Here is a 21,409-nt window from a genome sequence, read left to right as displayed (position 1 = left end):
TGGAGTGTTATCTGCAGGGAATGAGGGTATTCTCTAGAGAGCCTGACATGTAATTTCTTCCTCTAATCCTGTCACAACCCTCTAGACTCAGGTAACGCCTGATCTTTGGTGGATGATGGTTCTGAACTTGAGCCCTGGTGCTGCCATAGCAGCCTGACCTTGGGGAGTCATTAGCTCCTCTGAATCTCAATGTTGTAAACTGGGATTGTGACCAATTCAAGTTCGCCTGCTCGCCACACAAGAAGCAAGGTGCAGTTTAAAAAAAGCAACTTTATTTGGGTGCTAGCAGTCAAGAAAAGGCCAGGCCCGTGCCTCTGAAAGAGCATTTCATATTGTTTTGGCTCAGTAAAGGGTTTAAGAAGGGAAACTTGGTATGAGAAGCCTGTGGGAATGGCGCTGGATATGGGATCTATGTGTCTTGTTTCGATGGCTATCTTGAGTTGTGGTCCACCTGGAGTGTGGGCTGGAGCCATCTCGACAGTGGCTGAGTTGTAGACTAACCACCATGAGGTCACCTCTAGATGGGAGGGTTCTGCAGCTGGGTCTCCATGCCTGGTTCATTTCAAGATTAGGCCCTGGAATTTCTAAGCAAGCACATAATTAGGTTAACTATCACAGTGCAAGGAGGGTCCAGTGGGAAGTTAGGGAAACAAAGAGTTTCAAAGTATATTTCAAGGCTAAAACTAGAGAGAAGAAAAGGATGTTTTAAAATGCGTTTTGGAGCTAAGCTACTTGGTTACAGGTCGAGTCACAGGACCTACCTCATGGGGTTGTGCAACGGATCATCTCTAGGCCATGTTAGGTGCCTGGTAAGGTACTGGACACAGAGGAGATGCTTAAGGAACAGTAGAGTGTTATTAGGTATCGTCGGTGCATTAGGTCAGCATTTTCCAAAGTTGTCAATCCTTCCTTGTCCTGGGCAGAGTTCTAAGAGGGCCTGTGAGATCTGAGAGCTGGGGCCCTGAGCACTCACCCTGATGGCTCCTCCCTGGGGTATGAGTGGGGCCGTGGACCTGCTGGACTCTCATTCCTGTGTTTGGGCCACTAATTGGTTGATTTTGCGATAATCAGAAAGGAGACTGACCTGCTTGCCATCTTCAGCTCATATTGTATTATTCTGTCCCTTGCCCACTCCACATAACTTTTTTCTGTTTTTCAAACATTTCAAAGTTTCTTCCCACATTTAGGGCAGCCATGCATAGAAATAACACGGTAGTCTCTCTCCCTTTCCCCCCACAGCAATCACACAAGGCTCTTGCACCTCTTTATAAAGCCTCCGCAGCTGCCATTTACTTCTGTAGTTATGCCTTTCATCTTGATGCTCATTTTGATTGTTTCCACTTAGAAAACAACTAATTTTGGAGATGAGATAGAGTATGTTGGTGTCAGTAGGAATTTCACTCAGCAAATAGGAACCAATGAAGACTTACGAGGGGTACATTTGCTGGTTTCAGTGGAATCAGAAAGGAGCTGTCTCATCAGCAATGTTTAAGGTGGATTCAGAAGAGAAGGGCCCATAGCCAAGTGAAAGGTGTTAATAGTTCCAGGAATAGAATCACATAGAAAAACCCCTCTGTGAAGTGATCTGTGGTTTCTCGTGGTGATTTCCAGCTGAAGCTCATTACAGATGGGCGGGGAAGGCCTGTGCATTAAGGTAAGTACAGCCCCCAGGGGAAAGAAGGGCTCTCCTGAAGCCAGTTCCCTTTTCTGGGATGGCCAGGAGACAGAGGAACCAAGGAGCAGAACTTTAATTGTGACTTTCTTTAGTTGTTCTTGGATAGTCAGTTTCAAACAAGAGTGATTTCACGATCAGTACATGCTGTCTTTGCCCCCTCATCCCTCAAGGATTCTGACAAAGCCCCTACCCCTTCCTCAAGGGTCTGGTTTGTAAAAAACACACACTTTCCCAGAGTTCCACAATTGCTTTCCAAAATAACTGCTCCAGATGCTTTTTGGAAATAAATACTTTTTTTAGAATTCATAAAGCAAATCCTTGGGATCAGAGGAGTAAAGGAGGAAGCTTAGAGCTGAGCAAACCAGGAGATGTTTAAAAGAGAGAGACAGGAAGGACGTGAGGCTTCGGGGTGTGACACGGACGGTTGGGTGGAGTGTCATGCTGGGGCCCAGCTCTTACAGTACCTGAGGGAATCCTTGGGGGGATATGCCACAGCTCTGAAATAAGAAAAATGTCCACCTAGCGTGGTGAAATCTCCACTTTATTTGTTCCAATGAATGTGTATTTGCATATGTTATAAAATTTCCAAGAATTAACTTCCTAAAGAATATTTAGTAGCATTGTTCTATTGGTCTCTGTGGAAAAGATGTAAGCAAAGTAAATGTCCATTGGCTGAGGATGGTTGAATAAATGGGGATAGGTCTACTCTATGGAGTTTTATGCAGCCACTAAAAGGAATGAGTGACAGCTGCCCTGCCAACTCACCTGGTGGGATTTCCACGAGGAGTCTATGAGTGTAGAAAGGAAGGCGTGGGGAAGTGTGAATACTGGGACCCAAAATTTATAAAAGAAACACAGAAAAGCTTTGGTATGCCTATACGTTGTACAGTTCATAGATCCCGATAGTTACAGGGGCGTGGGTGAAACCCTGAAGGACCCATGCCAGGTGTTACCTGTGGTGGAGACAGGGGGAGGTGACATAGAGAAGAAACAGGTGGGGGCAAGCCAGCAAGGAAAAGAAGGCCATGTCAGCTGCAAAGCTTGATTTATACGATGTGACTCCATTTCTATAAACTTTCACCTGTCTGTGAAAGGAAAATAGGATCTTGAGACCCCAAACTCACTAAGCCAAAGGGAAAAGTCAAGCTTGGGAACTGAATCATGCAAAGACTGCTTGTTTTTTGTTCCTAAGTAGATGGCTACAAGGATAAAAGGCCAAAAAGGCTCCCCAGGGTCAGTGGCTCATGCCTGTAATCCCAGCACTTTGGGAGGCCGAGGTGGGTGGATCACCTGAGTTTAGGAGTTCGACACCAGCCTGGCCAACATGGGGAAACCCCATCTCTACTAAAAATACAAAAATTAGCTGGGCGTCATGGCGTCTGCCTGTAATCCCAGCTACTTGAGAGGCTGAGGGAGGAGAATCTCTTGAACCTGGGAGGCGGAGGTTGCAATGAGCCGAGATCGCACCACTGCACTCCAGCCTGGGTAACAAGAATGAAACTCCATCTCAAAAAAAAAAAAAAAAAAGAGGCTCCCCAGGGGGCCTCCCACACAATTTACTCACAAGGAAATTCCTTGTGAACCCCAAGATCTTTACCTTAAAACGGTTCTGTTGAATTTCACCCTGACAGTGTAAATCAGCAGCTTATCTTCACAGGTAGGGAAGGAAGGCAGGACTACAAGTCACTCATCTGCTCACCTGAGACAAATGCGTGTGCGACTGCCCCCTCTACTCTCTGTGTATCTAATGTGAAAATGCAGATTCACTGAGAGCAACTGACTGATCCTCGGCCCCCTCCCTCTCACATGCAAAACGTGGATTGACTGAAAGCTGATCAAAGCCTGGAAAGAATGCAGCTGCTCGACCCTTCTACACTCCCCTTTCATTTCTCTTTTCCCTACTTCCCCCTCTTTGCCTTTAAATACTGAAGTCCCCAAACCATCTTTGGAGGAAGCATGGATCACAGACGTTCCTGTAATTCTGTGCTCCATTTTCCAGGCCATATTGTGAACCTTGGCAAAACAAACCTTTATTGATTGAGACTCGCTTTGGTCATTTTCTTTGGTTTTACATCTATCTGCAAGAAGAAGTCAGATAAAGGAGCCCAGTCTCGCCATTGGTAGGAGGTGCATTAAGTGAAATATGTTAGGTCGAAAAGGCGTGTTGCCAATTAATATGTGTAAGCCAAAAATAAAATCCTAAGACCCCCAACCAACTGGACAGACTCCCCCCCCCAACCCTTGGCCAAGAGGACCCCATAGAAACGTGAAAAAGTGAAATATAGGCCATGATGGGAAGGAAGGTCGGACACCCCTCCGTTTTGCAGTTTAGGCAGAACTGACCAGCATTAAAATAGGATTAAAAAATAGGATTAAAATAGAGATCCTAAAGCTGACAGAACAGAGCTTTTGGCAATAAGCTACCGAATTCCAACCTGACTCTGGTATGGTATCATGTGACAGATGGCAGACCCTGAAGACAATCAAAATATTTTACCTCGGCTGGGAGTGGTGGCTCATGCCTGTAATCCCAGCACCTTGGGAGGCCAAGATGGGCAGATCAACTGAGGTTAGGAGTTTGAGACCAGTCCGGCCAACATGATAAAACCCTGTCTCTACTAAAAATACAAAAATTAGCCGGGCATGGTGGCAGGTGCCTGTAATCCCAGCTACTTGGGAGGCTGAGGCAGGAGAATCGCTTGAACCCAGGAGATGGAGGTTGCAGTGAGCCGAGACCGCACCATTGCACTCCAGCCTGGGCAACAAGAATGAAACTCCGTCTTAAAAAAAAAACAAATTATCTCAAAATATATTTCCTTGACATATTTTGAAATGGACCTGTAAAGCTGTCTTTTGTGGGGAAAATTTGTATCTGTAGATAATTCTCGTCCCTTTCTAGGTCTTTCCCAGATCTAAGAGATTAATTGAGTCTGAGCTTTAAGGTCTGAAAAGAAACATACTATATTCTCTCTAAGGCTGCTACCTGGAGCCTTCATTTACATAGCAAGAACCTTGGCTTCCACAATCCTCCTTATCTTTTTTTTTTTTTGAGACAGGGTCTCACTCTGTTGCCCAGGCTGGAATGCAGTGGCACAATCTCGGCTCACTGCAACCTCTGTCTCCCGGGCTAAAGTGAGCATCCCACCTCAGTCTCCAGAGTAGCTGGGACTATAGGCATGCACCACCACACCTGGCTAATTTTTTTGTTTTTAGTAGAGACAGGGTTTCGCCCTGTTGCCCAGGCTGGTCTCGAACTCCTGGGCTCAAGTGATCCAACCACCTTGGCCTCCCAAAGTGCTAGGATTACAGGCCTGAGACATCGTGCCCAACCAAACCCTCCTTATCTTAACCCAAGCATTTACTTCAATTCTTTAGACAAAGCTTAACTCTTTCAACCAATTACCAATCAGAAAATCTTTGAATCCACCTATGACCTGTAACACCACCTCCCCACTCCACTGGAGGACATTTCACCTTTGCTGGCCAAACCAAGGTACACCTTACATGTATTGATTTATGTCTTTGCCTATAACTTCTGTCTCCCTAAAATGTATAACGCCCAGCTGTAACCTGACCACCTTGGCACATGTTCTCAGGCTCTCTTGAGACTGTACTCAGCCCTTGGTCACTCATATTAGCTCAGAATAAGCCTCTTTACATATCGTCCAGTTTGTTTTTATCATTGACATGTGCATACAATGAGTCTAGTTCCATAAAAAGAAACAAAATCTCCATGTGTATAGATATTTGTTTTTAATCTGTTTATAAGCAAGGGGAAGGCGTGGACAGACATTTTTCAGGTTTTTTAAAACAGTGCCTTAGTTTTGTTTTAATATACCTTTGTCCTCTGAAATGGACAGAAGCCACGTGAGGCACATGGAAAAGTTCCACTCACCCTTTAAGGAAATCAAAATATTTTGCCCATAGTTACACGTCTTTGACATATTTTGAGATGGCTGTTCAGAGAGCCTGCACACAGATGCCACCTTGCAACGCTGTCTTGTGGGGACATTAGTCTCTGTGGAGAATCTGCATGGACACAGCCAGGCTTCCTCTGCACCCCTCCCTTGTCCAGATCTAGGAAAGATTAACCAAGACTCTGCCATCTTAAAGGTCCAAAAGGGACATTTACCTCTATTCTCTCTGACGGCTGCTACCTGTGAAATTTTATTTCCTTCTTTATTTTTGAGACAGATTCTCACTCTGTCATTCAGATCTTGGCTCACTGGAGTCTCTGTCTCCTGAGTTCAAGCGATTCTCCTGCCTCAGCTTCCCAAGTAGCTGGTGGTACCTGTGGCGCCCACCACCAAGCCCAGCTAATTTTTGTAGTTTTAGTAAGGACAGGGTTTCACCATGTTGGCCAGGCTGGTCTCGAACTCCTGACCTCAGATGATCCACCCACCTTGGCCTCCCAAAGTGCTGGGATTACAGGGGTGAGCCCCCATGCCCAGCCTGTTTATTTATTATTTATTTATTTTGCTTTGCAGGCCACCTTTGCTAGCCAGGCCTTCTCTTCTCCCCCTCCCATAACCTGTCTTGCTGCCATCCAAGCCCTTTTTCTTTCTGTAACCTCTAGATGCCTCTGGCCACTTCTTTGCATGCTTACATTTTGTATGACCCCCGTGCATGGCAATACTTTGGTATATACCTTGTTTCCTTTAGTCTGCCTTTTGTCAGTTGATTTTTCAGCAAACCTTCAGAGGATGAAGGGGGAGTTTTTTCTTGGCCCCTGCACTATCTGGCCATCTTGCCCAGAAAGAAGGCACTGGAACAAGGTCCTAAAGTTTGAGATAAGGCAGCTACCAGAAATTAATTAGGGAGTGCCCCATGTTGACAGAGGATCATATTTTTAAATTGAAACTCTTTTCCTGCTGAGACTGTTCTGTGTTACAATTCACGTGTGACCATGAGGTTCACAGAACAGGCAGTGGCATCTAGTAAACTAAGCTTCAGGGTAAATAGAATGTTGGCGCCAGCCACTTCAACTTGCACTAGTGAATATGTCAAGACTTGTCCTCCATTTATTAACCATTAGCTAGAATGGAAGCGTGTGCCTATCTGAGCCTGTGTGGCTGACATTTAAGCTGTGGCTCATCATGGGATTCCATAGCTGATCCTGACATCAGCTAGAGTTTCATGGACATCTGGAAAGTCGGAGTTCTGGGAAGGATGACATTTTTGTGGGCTGGAATATAAGGGTTGGGATTATGGCAGCCATTTGGAAGCTTCCTCCCCTGCTTATTGTGTGGGGTTAGTGGATGGATGGTCTTTGTCAGCATCTCGAACTCTCCTAAGTTTCTTTCAGGCGCACTGTTTACTCTTTTTTTTTTTTTTTTGAGACGGAGTCTTGCTGTCTCCCAGGCTGAACTTCAGTGGCGTGATCTCGGCTCACTGCAAGCTTCGCCTCCCAGGTTCACACCATTCTCCTGCCTCAGCCTCCCGAGTAGCTGGGACTACAGGCGCCCGCCACCACGCCCGGCTATTTTTTTGTATTTTTAGTAGAGATGGGGTTCCACCATGTTAGCCAGGATGGTCTTGATCTCCTGACCTCGTGATCCGCCCATCTCGGTCTCCCAAAGTGCTGGGATGACAGGCGTGAGCCACCGCGCCCGGCCCTCTTCTTTTTGATGATGACACCCAGGATGGTAATTGCTACCTCCGTGCATAATTGAAACTTTAAAAGAGGCGATTCCGCATCAAGCATGCAATGGAAGAAACTGGAAACTTGTGTCTGGTCTTCATCACACAATGTAAGTAAAGAAATGTGTGCAGCGTGCTGACTTATTTTATTTAGCAATTCTGTGCATATCCTCTAGGGCTTTCAAGTCCCTGCTGTGGACAATCTGCATGTGACAGCTGAGACAGGAGGAAGAGGCCCAAGGGAACGCATTCCTGCTAGGACAGAGCTGGCTGGCTGCACAGTGGAGAGTGTTTGCTGGAAGCTGCTACCAGCCATGGGGCACCTACCCGCCCAGCGGCCCTTGCATCCAGGTGGGGCTGCGTGAGTGGCTTTGACCAGTGGGTACCACTTCATGATCTAATGTGATTCAGGGTGTGTTATGGGCTAAGTTATGTCCCCGCCCCCAAATGTATATGTTGACATCTTAAGCCCCTGTATCTCAGAATGTCACTATTGTCATATTTGAAGATAGGGTCTTTAAAAAAGTAATTAAGATTCAATGATGTCATCAGGGTGGGTCCTAATTGTAAGGTCCAAGAAAAGCTGTTCCTTCACCCTCTGAAAATCAACTCACAAAAGGCAGATTAATAGAAGAAATGGCATACAAACGTATTAACATACATAGAGGGAAAATCACAGAGTGGTTACCCCAAGCCCCTGATGGTGTACGGAGCTTGTATGCCATCTTTTCTTTTTCTTTTTTTTTTTTTTGAGACAGGGTATCACTCTGTCGCCCAGGCTGGAGTGCAGTGGCACAATCTCAGCTTACTGCAATCTCTGCCTCCCAGGTTCAAGTGATTCTTGTGCCTCAGCCTCCTGAGCAGCTGGGATTTGTTTACCATCTTGAGGTTACAGAAAGAATAGGGCCTCAGAGCATAACCAAAAACAGGTACGGTGGTGAATGAGGTTACGGTGGCAAGACAGGTTTTGGGAGAGGAGCAGAGGCCCGGCAGTGGTCTTGTCATGTAGATGGAGCGTCAAGGGTAGCATCCCTTAGAGAGAATAGGTGGCAAATGTTCCTTTCAGACCTTTAAAGGTAGCAGCCTCTCAGTTCATCTTTCCTGGATCAGGGCAAGGGACGGCCTCAGAGAAAGCCTGGCTGCACGGATGCAGGTTCTCTACAGACACAAGTCTCTCCACAAGACAGTGTTGCAGGGCGACTTGTGTCTGTAGGCCCTCTGACAGCCACCTCAAACTATGTCAAAGAAGTATTTTTTTTGGGTGAAATATTTTGGTTTCCTTCAGTCCCCATTTTGAAACTGTACTTTCAGAAAGTTTCACATCAAAGCCAAGTTGATAGCTTTGGGTTACAGGTTGTTAGATAAGAGATAGGCAAAGGAAGGGAAGAACACATTGGGATACGCAGAAAGGAACAACTTTATACCATCCCATACCTTCTTGAACCATTCTCTTTTTTTTTGAGATGGAGTTTCGCTCTTGTTGCCCAAGCCAGAGGTGCAATGGCACCATCTTGGTTCACTGCAACCTCCACCTCCTGGGTTCAAGCAATTTTCCTGCCTCAGCCTCCTGAGTAGCTGGGATTACAGGCATGTGTCACCACACCCGGCTAATTTTTGTATTTTTAGTAGAAACGGAGTTTCACCATGTTAGCCAGGCTGGTCTCAAACTCCTGACCTCAGATGATCTGCCCGCCTTGGCCTCCCAAAGTGCTGGAATTAGAGGTGTGAGCCACCGCGCCCTGCCTGAACCATTCTCTTAGTCCTGAGAATAGATCAATTCAGTTAAATAGCTGTGTCTCATTTCAGGAGGCGGCCTTGCAGGCGAGCTCTCAGAGCTAGGCCTCTACATAGGATGCAGGTAAACAGGTCTCTAGTAAGAGGCACCTCTATGGAAACAGAAGGAAAACAAAGGTTTATGTCTGGGATAGTCTAGTAGACCAGTTTTCTTAGAACCTGAAGCATATTCAGATTTCAGTGGCAATCTGACAGATTTTTCTGGATTGCAGTTTGAATCGTGTGTTCTAGTCGACTCTCTGAGTAGTCCCTGCATCCACAGGAACAAAGGCTGTTTATAGATGAGTGACTGTAGGAATTTCTCCCGAAGTTTATATTAAGTTGTCTAACTTCAGTTTGCAGGGCTTTAAGAAAAGCATAGTTTTATTTTCTAGTGATTCCAAGTCAGAAAAAATTGGAGAAAACTTTGAAAATGTTAGTTTGGAGGCTTATAGCCAGGAAAGGATTCAGGATTTAGTCCAAATTGTAGGTTAAAAATAAAAACTCAAAAACAATGGACAAGGCTATAATCTAATAACAGGTATACTATAGCTTTCTTCTGTTAAAAGAAAAACTTCAGCTGAGTTAAATTCAAAGGAGTTTTAATCGAACGATGAACAATTTGAGAACTGGGCAGCTCCCAGAATCACAGCACATTCAGAGAGATTTCAAGGGGTGCCTCATGGTCAGAACAAATTTACAGACAAAAAAAGTAAAGTGACATACAGAATTCAGAAGTGAGATATAGGAACAGCTGAATTGGTTACAGCTCAGTGTTTGCCTCATTTGAACACAGTTTGAACACTCAGCAGTGTATGACTAGTTGAAATATGGCTGCTGGGATTGTCCAAGACTCAGCGATTATTACAGGCACAGACTCCTAGGACAGGTTTTCAGTCTTGTCTACCTATGAAGTTAAGTTGCAGTTCATCCACAAGGACTCAAATATAGAAGTACAGAGTCCTTCTCAGGCCATATTTAGTTTGCTTTAACACTTCTGAATCATAATTTGTCTCTCTCCAGTCCCACCTTTATACCAAGAATATTATGACCAATTTATTTGCAAAATAAGTTTTAGTATTATTGTACTTGGCCTGTTTATTTGCATAAAGTGCAGCACAAATAGTAATTGGCCACATAGGCTCCTTTTAAATTGGCTTTGCTGAAATATTTTCATAAGGAATCTCCAGTTAGACTTTCAAAAGCCTCTTGAGGCTAGAAAGCCAAGTCAAAATTTCTTCATCGGGCTGTGTAATACCTGAATGAGTCAGTGAATTCCTCTCTTCTTGAGGTTCCCGATATTTCTTGAGGTTCCTGGGTCTGTCAGAAAGTGACATTCTTTACTTACCACAGGTCAGAAATCATGTAAGGAAACCACATAGACAAGGCTGGTCTTTCCAAGGGGCTTTTTATCAGCTCTAGGAAGTCAACTTCAATTCCTCACAGCAGTTTGGTTATATTTAAAAATATGCTGGCTGGGTGTGATGGCTCATGCCTATAATCCCAGCACTTTTGGAAGCTGAGGCAGGCAGATCATTGAGGTCAGGAGTTCAAGACCAGCTTGGCCAACATGGTGAAACCCTGTCTCTACTAAAAATACAAAACTTAGCTGTGAGTGGTGGCAGATGCCTGTAATCCCAGCTACTCGGGAGGCTGAGGCAGGGGAATCACTTGAACCCAGGAGGCAGAGGTTGCAGTGAGCCGAGATCGTACCACTGCACTCAAGCCTGGACGGCAGAGAGAGACTCCATCTCAAAAACAACAAAAAAAATGCCATTCCAGTCAAAGCCCTGATAAAATAATTAGCATTACAACTGTGTCCTGTTACAGAAGAAAACAGATTCTTATTAAACTTATGCAAATAACTATGTTGCCATAAAATAAGAATACTTTCAAATAGTTTCTGAATTCTGGAGAAATCAGTTAGAGAGAAAGGTACGTTTGAATTTTTCTTACAAAAGTATACTTTACCCAATTGCTGTAAGCCATAAATAGCTCAAAAGAAAAAAAAAAAGTTTTCTTGACTCTGGAAAACAAAACATAAAGAGAATCAGCACTATTTCAAACAAAAAGTCATAAAAAAGCATTTTGGTACTCTATCAGTTCAGTTCCATGTAATTAACTTTTGTTCTACTTGATGTTGGGTTAGCAATCCTCATGAATGCATCAACTTTTTAATTACAGTCTAGGAAAGTTTTACCTAATCCAGTGGTTTTATCTCCAAATTTATTAGTAACCTGCATTTAAGAGTACTTGTCAGGGTCCTTTCCATGCATTTCCTTCAAGAAGAAGCAAATTTTGTACTGTAGCACATTGTAAACTACTTTTTGAAAAGAATTAAAGTAAATCATTGTCTGTGGATGACAAAAGAATTAGAATGGCTATGGTTAAAGACACAATTGACAAGAAAATTTGGTTATTTCTGTGGCATACAACAGTTTAACATAATAAACATGATTGATAACATAGACAAAGACATCAGAATTTTAGGAATCTCGTACGATTTTGAGACACCTATTAATAATACGCTTATACAAATATAACTCAAAGAAAGTTAAAGACCATTCTTGTTTGACAATCCTTCCCGTAGGATTTTAACGTATCAAATAAGTCTAATATGTCTCTGTTGGACTTCCAGGTTCTTTTAGTTATATTTAAACTATTTCAAAAAGCAAAAACTTGAGCTGGAGGCCATTATCCTAAGCAAACTAACACAGGGACAGAAAACTAGACACTGCATGTTCTCATTTATAAGTGGGAGCTAAACAGTGAGTGTGTATGGACACAAAGAAAGGAATAACAGACACCAGGGCCTGCTTGAGGGTGGAGGGTGAGGGCAGAAAAACCACCTACTGGGTATTGTGCTTATCACCTGTGTGATAAAATTATTTGTACACCAAACCCCCACAACACGTAACACACAATTTAGCTATATAACAAACCTGCACATGTACCCCTGAACCTAAAAAAAAAATTAAAAAACAAAAACTTAGCTCTTTGATAGACAGGAGAAACTCAATTTTTAAAACAATCAAAAGACCTAATAAAGACAGCATGAGGCAAACCCTCTTCTTTTTTTTGTCATTTACTCAAAAGGTAAGCAAAAATCTTTTACTACTTTTTGTTAATACTATATGAACATCTTGTTCAAACACAAAACCAAATTCTATCTTTGCATCAGTGTATTGACACTAAAGCTAATTTTAATAAAACCTTATAAACAGATTCATCCAATCTCAGTCTTAACCACACAAGATAAGATTTCCATAAGCCTTTTAGAAGCTTTGATAATTTTTTCCATTCTCTTTTGCTCTTCAAGTTTCTCTGTCTATTCAGTTTTATCGTTCTTTTTTCCCCTTCAATTTAAAACAGCACTTAAATTACCCTTACACTGACAAAATTGCTTTTCTTTTAACAAAAACTACATTCTCATGCCTTCTTTATAGCCTTCCTTACCAAAACACCTCCTACTTTTCCTGTGCATTTTGCATGAGAAGTGTCTGTCTTGTATCTAGTAGTTTTAATTACATATATTAATTATAATGTTATCTCTTGGTAACTCTAATTTTCAGTAAAAAACCTAGGCAGTAATCCATTTTAATTGTTATGTATCAGATGCAGAGCCCTGGACAAAGGACGGAGCTGTGAAAACAGTGCCTGGAGGATCTGATCCCTTCTAGCAAGGCCAAGAGACACGGCTGGGCTGGGGAGGACGGGGTCTCCAGGCCTCACCATGGCCACTTATCTAGACGCCAGCATCAAAAGGTTCAAAGCCCAGGTCACAGGCTCATGAAAAAATTAAGCAGGTATCAAAAAATATCACAAAGGCAACAGTTTTATGACATGAAAACATCTATCAGAGACAATATAAACCTGTCTGCTAATAGAACCAGGTAAAACTGTCTAAATTAAATTCCGAAGAAATTTCAATTTTATTTTACTAATGATTTTAAAAACTAGCTTTATTTACCCAACATGACTAAAGTCCCATTGACCTGAAAAGCATTTGGGCTTATTTACTTAATTTATGAGTACTCCTTTATTTATAAGTCTATTCAGTACCATGTAGACAATGTTCAAACACAGACATATGCACGCATACATAAAAATACAAATGAACACAAAAAAATAAAGACTACATGCTTTTATTTTTAAAATTTTAGCCATGAGACTGGTAAAATTCACTAGTTTAAAAGGACAGTTGTATTAAATTGTGTCTCTGTAAATGGAACAATTTAAAATGTATCTGTCCTACATGGTTGAAGTCCTTACCTTACAGAGTTTTAGAGAAAGCAGGGTAGCAAATTTACATCTCAAAGCACAGAGAGAATTTTAGCTTTCTCAAGGAGGAGTTTGAGTGTGTTAGAGCAAGATTAAAAATGGATTTCAAGGTAACAAAAAGTTATAGAAATCCACCACAGGATGTTTTTCATTTTGTTTTTGGAGGCAGGGTCTCACTCTGTCGCTGAGGCTGGAGCGCAATGGCGCAATCATGGCTCACTGAAGTCTCGACCTGGGTTCAAGCAATCCCTTTGCCTGAACCTCCTGAGTAGCTGCTACTATAGGCACACGTCATCAACCTGGCTAATTTAAAAATATATATATATTTATATATAAAATATAAAATATATTCTAATATATTTATAATATTTTATATATTTATAATATAATATAAATAATATGTGATATATATTATATATCATATATGATATTGCATATATTATATGTGATATATAATATATAAAAATATTTATATATTTAAATATATTTTTGTATTATAAATATAATATATAAATATATATTTTTTATATTGTAAATATAACATATAAATATACATACTTTTTATAGAGATGGGCCCCTGCTATATTGCCCGAGCTGGTCTCAAATTGCTGGGCTCAAGCAATCCTCCCATCTTGGCCTTCCAAAGTGCTGCAATTACAGGTGTAAACCACCACACCTGGCCATGCCATGGCCCCCACAGGATTTTATAATGAGACTAATTTTAATAAGTATAATCTCTGTTTTCCAACTGGGCAACTGAACTCATTAACAGATCCAACAAAGCATTTGCAGTTTTCAGGGTCTAATATTTAAATATGTGAAAACCAGGCACAGCTGAAAGGCAGAGCCTCTAGATCTTTACATATCAAGGATCCTGCTTTTACACTGAATCTTGAGTCCCCCTGAGAGGTGACAGCATACTGGCAGTCCTCACAGCCCTCACTCGCTCTCGGCGCCTCCTCTGCCTGGGCTCCCACTTTGGCGGCACTTGAGGAGCCCTTCAGCCCACCACTGCACTGTGGGAGCCCCTTTCTGGGCTGGTCAAGGCCAGAGCCGGCTCCCTCAGCTTGCGGGGAGGTGTGGAGGGAGAGGCGCCAGCGGAACCCGGCTGCGCGTGGTGCTTGCGGGCCAGCGCGAGTTCAGGGTGGGCGTGGGCTTGGCGGGCCCCGCACTCGGAGCATCAGGCCGGCCCTGCAGGCCCCGGGCAATGAGGGGCTTAGCACCTGGGCCAGCAGCTGCAGAGGGTGTGCTGGGTCCCCCAGCAGTGCCAGCCCACTGGCGCTGCACTCGATTTCTCTCCGGGCCTTAGCTGCCTCCCCGCGGGACAGGGCTCAGTAACTGCAGCCCGCCATGCCTGAGTCTCCCAACCCCTCCGTGGACTCCTGTGCGGCCCGAGCCTCCCCGACGAGCGCCACCCCCTGCTCTACGGCGCCCAGTCCCATCGACCACCCAAGGGCTGAAGAGTGCGGGCGCACGGCGCGGGACTGGCAGGCAGCTCCACCTGCAGCCCCGGTAGGGGATCCACTGGGTGAAGCCAGTTGGGCTCCTGACTGGTGGGGACTTGCAGAACCTTTATGTCTAGCTAAGGGATTGTAAATACACCAATCGGCACTCTGTATCTAGCTCAAGGTTTGTAAACACACCAATCAGCACCCTGTGTCTAGCTCAGGGTTTGTGAATGCACCAATGGACACTCTGTATTTAGCTACTCTGGTGGGGACGTGGAGAACCTTTGTGTCTAGCTCAGGGATTGTAAACGCACCAATCAGCACCCTGTCAAAACAGACCACTGGGCTCTCTGTAAAATGGACCAATCAGCAGGATGTGGGTGGGGCCAGATAAGACAATAAAAGGAGGCTGCGGGAGCCAGCAGTGGCAACCCGCTTGGGTCCCCTTTCATACTGTGGAAAGTTTGTTCTTTTGCTCTTTGCAATAAATCTTGCTGCTGCTCACTCTTTGGGTACACACTGCCTTTATGAGCTGTAACAGCGCAAAGGTCTACAGCTTCACTACTGAAGCCAATGAGACCACGAACCCACCAGAAGGAAAAGACTCCGAACACATCCGAATATCAGAAGGAATGAACTCCAGACAGGCTGCCTTTAAGAACTGTAACACTCACCGCGAGGGTCCGTGGCTTCATTCTTGAAGTCAGTGAGACCAAGAACACACCAATTCCGGACACAACCCCAAGTGGGAAATGCCACAGGACTGTGTTGCACAATGCTTCCACAGTACACCTGGCTGCAAGGGCTACCAAATGACCATCAGCCCACTCTGTGGTCAGCTCATCCCCTATGGGAGTCTTATTCCTTCATGGTGAGTGCTCCATAGCCTTTCAAACCACACCTTTCTTATATAAATGCACAAAAAAACGAATAACTCCTGCAGTAATAATCATTCACTGCAAACACTGTCAGCCACCTCCAAGGCTGCAGCCCTTGACAGTGACCTTCCAACCATCACACATACAAAGGCCAGGTGCTTCTTGGCCTTACAGTACAAAGTACTCTCTGGTATCCAGGCCAAAGAGACCTGGTGATGCCGTACAAAGGAGAGCAGGGCTTTAGCCCTGGGAGGAACACGGACCCTGCCTATGACTTTATACACTCCCCAAGGAAGACAGAATAGTGCATAAAAGGATCAAGAAGAGCCTTTTTCTGTGTTCCTCAGGGGGTGGCAGAGTCATTGGAAGTCCTCTCTAGAACACTGCATGTGGTGCTGAAGATGATGGCAAAAGGAAGGAGAGGCAGAAGTGGAAGGAAATGAAAGAACAATTTCTACAGAAGCCAATTTGAGGATACTTAAAGTTTTCCAAAAGGCCAATGAAAATATTACATTTTTCCCCGCAAAAGTTATACCATCAAGGAAGGAAGCAAACAGAAGGACTAAATATACTTTAAAAAGGGGTGTCAGTCAACTGAAAAAAGTTCCCAGAAACAGGATCTAAAAGAGAAAAGGCAGGCCTTTATGTATACATAGCTTGAACATCAGCTTTTAATTAATCTGACTTCTGACCAGAGAGCTCTTAAAAACTTTTTTTTTCAAATCTTTTATTATCATATTTTAGTTGGGACTGGTTCCCTGACTTGGAATTGAATCCAGGCTGTGACCGAGAAAGCATGAAATTTTAACTGCCAACCTGCAGGTAGAGTAGCTTTCATTGTGAATTCCACAAGGTTTTCAAAGCAGGTACTTCCAGTGTACAAGGATTTAAAAAATGCTTTAGGCTGGGCACAGTGGCTCATGCCTGTAATCCCAGCACTTTGGGAGGCCAAGGTGGGTGGATCGCCTGAGGTCAGGAGTTCGAGACCAGCCTGGCCACCATGGTGAAACCCCGTCTGTACTAAAAGTACAAAAATTAGCTGAGCGTGGTGGTGCATGCCTGTAGTCCCAGCTACTCGGGAGGCTGAGCCCAGGAGAATTGCTTGAACACGGGAGGCAGAGGTTACAGTGAGCCGAGATCACACCACTGTACTCTAGCCTGGGCGACAGAGCAAGACTCTGTCTCAAAAAATATATATAATAAATAAAAACTGCTTTAGGTCATTTTTATTTGTTAATTTTTTTTAATAGAGAGGGAGGGTCTTGCCATGTTGCCCAGGCTGGTCTTGAACTCCTGGGCTCAAGTGATCCTCCCACCTTGGCCTCAAAATGCCAGGATTAGGGCATGAGCCTTTGGGTCCAGCCAAGGTCATATATTTTTGCTCTTTAATGTTATCAAGGGAATTTCTAAGGCTAGCCATGACACTGTTATTTGTCTTTTAATTTAATCTTAAAAATAAGGCAATTGTTTAGAAGGAGAGATCTCTAAAATCCTTTTTTTTTTAAATTTAGAAGTCCAATTTTAAGGATCCATCTTTTTACCCCTAACAATTAGAATTTTCAATGGTGTACTTATTCCAACAGCAACTCAATCCAATAGACTCTTCATTGGAAGCCCGAGAAGTAATTTTCCAGGTTTAGGTTAAATTTTTAGCATATGTGCAAGAGGTGTTTCCTGGAGAGGGCACAGAAGAGGCAATTCTAATGATTCTCAAAAAGTCCACTCCCAGGAATAAGCTAAGGTAGCCAAAGCCTGTGGTTGCCACAGATGGTTCAGGATAATGTTTGTGTGTATGATGCCTCCAATAGCCCACAAATTTATGGGGGGGCCACTGGTCACAGACTCATTAATCTCTGACACTGTGTACACCATTTTAGGATTGGACTTTCCCAGGATGACCAGGTCGCAAGGGTTGAGATGACAAAATCCCCTTATGGATGGGACTTCTTGGTAAGACATCTCCCCCTGAGAGCCCGACATGATTGGAGCACAAAGTGTGCTGCTTTAAATCTTATGTATCTCAGATTCTCAGCCATTTTCAGATCGCCCACCTGGTGTGACACAAAAATCTCAGCCCCTGGATGGTGGAGACCAAGAGAGAGCTCTCACTTGGTCACAAGTCAAGCTCGTAGGGACATAATGCAAGATGACAGGGAACCTCATCCAACCTTAATTTAGGGACCCACAGTGAAGTTTTGTCTAAATAGATACAGGTCTGATTAGAACGGTAAAACTGACCAGCCTGCAGGGCCGGCTCCAACGATGGGCTTAGGCCCGTGTGCTATCCTGTGGTACCCTTCTTAATGCAACAACACAGAAAGATAAAGACAAAGAAATAGACTCAGGGAGGAAAAGGGATCAAGCAATATGAACATTCACACTAAAAAGTACTATAGAGTTGCTACACCCAAGACTAGTCATAAATCCTTTGCTCCTGTTAACCAAAACTTTTCAGAGAGTGATTTTTACCATCTGCTCAACCAGATTCCACACAGAGAGGCCAAAGCTGGCTGGTAAATTCTTCCCCTTCTGCCTGCCTGTTAGGTCCTGGGTTCCCTTGACTGTGGCTTCCAGAAGAGAAGAGCTTTGGAGTCCTGCTGAGAGTGCCAAAACTGTGGGGGCCAAGAGATAACTCTCCCTTCACCCTCTGAAGTTTCACTGAAACATCAACCGACAAAAAGCAGATTAATAGGAGAAATGGCATACGAATGTGTTAAGGTGCGTGGAGGGAATATCACAGAGTGGTTACCCCAACCCCTCAATGGTGTACAGAGCTTATATACCATCCTGAGCTTCCAAAAAGAATAAAGGCTAACAGCATATGCAAAACCAGGGATGGTGGTGAGTCAGGTTCTAGCGCCAAGACGGGTTACGGGAGGTAGAGAAGAGGGGGTGTGGCCAGCAAGGTTGGTCTTGTGGTGTAGATGAAACCTCACATTAGCAGCCCTCAGAGAGAAGGGATGGCAAATGTTTCTCTCTGACCTTCACCGTGTCAGACTCTCATGTAATCTTTTCTAGGTCCTTCCCAAGGAAGGGCCTCAGAGAAAGTCTGGCTTCGTCAAAGCGGCTTCTCTATAGAGGTGACTCTCCCCACAAAAGGCAGCATCGCGGGGCTACCTATGTCTGCAGGGCCTCTGACAGGCACCTCCAAATATGTCCGAGGAGTATATTTTCAGATAAAATATTCTGGTTTTCTTCATCATCCAATATGACTGATGTCCTTATAAAAAGAGGAAATCAGGACACACAGATAGGAAAACCCTCATGAGAACACAAGGGAGAAGGCAGCCATGTGCAAGCCAAGGAGAGAGGCCTCAGGAGAAACCCACCCAGCCACACCTCGATCTGGACTTCAGCCTCCAGAATGTGAGGCAACAGACTTCTGCTATTTGAGCCCCCCAGTCTGTGGTACTTTGTGACAGTAGCCTGAGGTGACTGCTGAAGACAGGGTGTGTAACTGCCTTTGCAAAATTATGACGGTAAGATAAATCTGGCATAGTTGACTCCATTTCGCTTCTGACCTCCAAGTGAGACACAGTAGAGGTGGAGTTTCATCCCCACAGGAGCATTCCCACTGATCACACAACCCACACCACTACCTCACTGACACTGTGTTTAACCATGCCTTTTACTTAAAGAATTCCAGAAACCAGCCTTAGGAGATAACCAAGGTTGTGGAGTGTCCCACCTTGGGAAGGAATGCTGAACAATTGATTCGTAGCCTTGTGGCTGTTGGCCAGACCACCAGATGACCTACTATTAATCAAGAGAACCATTACAACCAAATAATGCTGGCCTGCATACCCTACCCTTCACATGCTTCGCCCAGCCCAGCCTGTGCACCCTGTCCCTCATTTCAATTCCCATGCTTTGCCTAATAAGAAAGTCCCACCAGCTCTTTTGAGGGAGTCAGTCAGGGAGTTCTCTTTCTCTCTTTCTCTCCCTCCCATGCTGCCTCCCTTATGCCCAGGCATAAGCTCCAATGAAACCTTGTCTGGAAAACTCTTTCACCCTTATGTCAATTTCTATCTCATTGAGAGCCCACGAGCTCATGGTGGGTAACAAGCTGTCTTTGGTCATTCCTGGGCATAGGCCAGGCTAACGGTGGGAGGAATTTAGTTTATAGTTTAACTTAAATGATAATAAAGTAAAGATGATAATAGTCCTTCCCAGAAGCTAACTCCCTCCTTGCTCACCATCAAAAACTTTGTAAGCAAGAATAGGATTATGAGAGGGGCCTGAACTCAGCTAAGATATAGACATATTTTCTGTCATCTTTTACTGCTTTGGGATTATAGAAAATGTGGCTAGAGGTCACAAGAATTGTGACCTTCCCATTTACAGATAACATCACTATTGTAGAACCTAGGGGCTTTTTTGAGATGTTTTTCAGACTGGCCCCACCCAGACTTGTGACTCAGCTGGTGCAGACTCAATGCTGAAGGACCATTTTTCACACACCTGTTATTTCATCCCCCACCAATTAGCAACACCCATTCCCTAGCCCCCTGCTCATCAAATTGTCCATAAAAACCCTAACCTCTGAGCCTACAGGAAGGCTAATTTCAGTGTTAAGTCCTGTTCTCCTGTGTGGGACAGCCTCCAGTCAATTAGTCTTTCTCTTTTGCAACGCTGTTGTCTCAGTGTGCTGATTTTTGTCGGTGCTGTGGGCAGGAAGAACCCATTAGGTGATTGTAGGTGCACCTTCTCTGTTCTCTTTCTTCCTATCCTTGCTGGGTGGGCTGTGGGTGTCCAGAACAAACTTGGAAACATTGCTGAAGATGGTGGGTCCCCTGTTAGCCTAGGTTCTGCATAACTCTGTGGTTTGGAGCCTGCTGTTGACGATAGTCAGAAATATCCATTTGGGATTTACGTAAATGAGGATCAAATTTGTTTCATATGAAGCCGTGGAAATGTTGAGATTTATTCATTACAACAGTCACAGTTACTCTTTCTAAATGGAGAAACCTTCTGAGTAGATTAAGGGAGGACAGGTGGCCACCCCTGGAAGAAGGGGAGCAGCAGTGGAATGTGAAGTGCTGTCCTCCTCAGCCGCGGAGCACCTGGGGTGGCCTAGGAAGGATGAATTAAAGCTACTAAGATGCCTCATTAATTACTGGGAAAAGAACAATAGCTCAGAGAAGTCTGAGCTCTGTGAGGCACACAGACCCAGAGAGAAAAGAGTATGGGTTTAGCTAATCCCTACCCCTGCACCCATGCCCAGGGGCTAGTGTTTTTGTTTTATTCTTTTGAGACAGGGTCTAGTTCTGTCACCCAGGCTGGAGTGCAGTGGCTCAATCACGGCTCACTGCAGCCTCAACCTGCAATTCTCCTGCTCACACCCCTGAGTAGCTGGGGCCACAGGTGCGTGCCACTGCACCTGGCTAATTTTTTTATTTTTTGTAGAGATGGGGGAGTCTCAAACTCCTGAGCTCATGGAATCCTCCTGCTTCAACTTCCCGAAGTGCTGGGATTGCAGGCATGAGCCACTCAGTCCAGTGACAATTACTTCAGGTAATTTTGTTACTGACAAGCTGCCTCACTCATTAAGTTCCTAGATTTTTGTGACACAACGAACAATGCATAGACAACCAATAGCTGATGTTATTTTAATGTATCTGCTTGGTAAACAATTTGGGAACTACCCCTTCTTTCCCTTTCAAGCCTCCTTGTAACCGTTGCTAATTGGAGGGCATACTCAGGACAACTGGCAT

General features: G+C 44.2%; 1 long non-coding RNA gene across 2 annotated transcripts in view; it reads left to right on the top strand.

The window, feature by feature from the left end:
* LOC102723944 (uncharacterized) overlaps positions 1–18,527 on the top strand; it is a 102,009-nt gene extending 83,482 nt beyond the window's left edge. The window contains exons 4-7 of one of the 2 annotated variants that reach the window (XR_427861.4): positions 7,492–7,666; positions 12,704–12,981; positions 17,573–17,645; positions 18,240–18,527. This is a non-coding gene — a long non-coding RNA (uncharacterized LOC102723944). Of the gene's footprint in view, positions 1–7,491; positions 7,667–12,703; positions 13,668–17,572; positions 17,646–18,239 lie in introns of those variants that run through there. The other variant, XR_926383.3, reaches the window with a different exon arrangement.
* Positions 18,528–21,409: the final 2,882 nt, after the last annotated feature.

Source organism: Homo sapiens, chromosome 6 (genome assembly GCF_000001405.40).
Source record: "Homo sapiens chromosome 6, GRCh38.p14 Primary Assembly".
Taxonomy (NCBI): Eukaryota; Metazoa; Chordata; class Mammalia; order Primates; family Hominidae; genus Homo; species Homo sapiens.
This window is presented reverse-complemented; position numbering and strand designations above follow the sequence as displayed.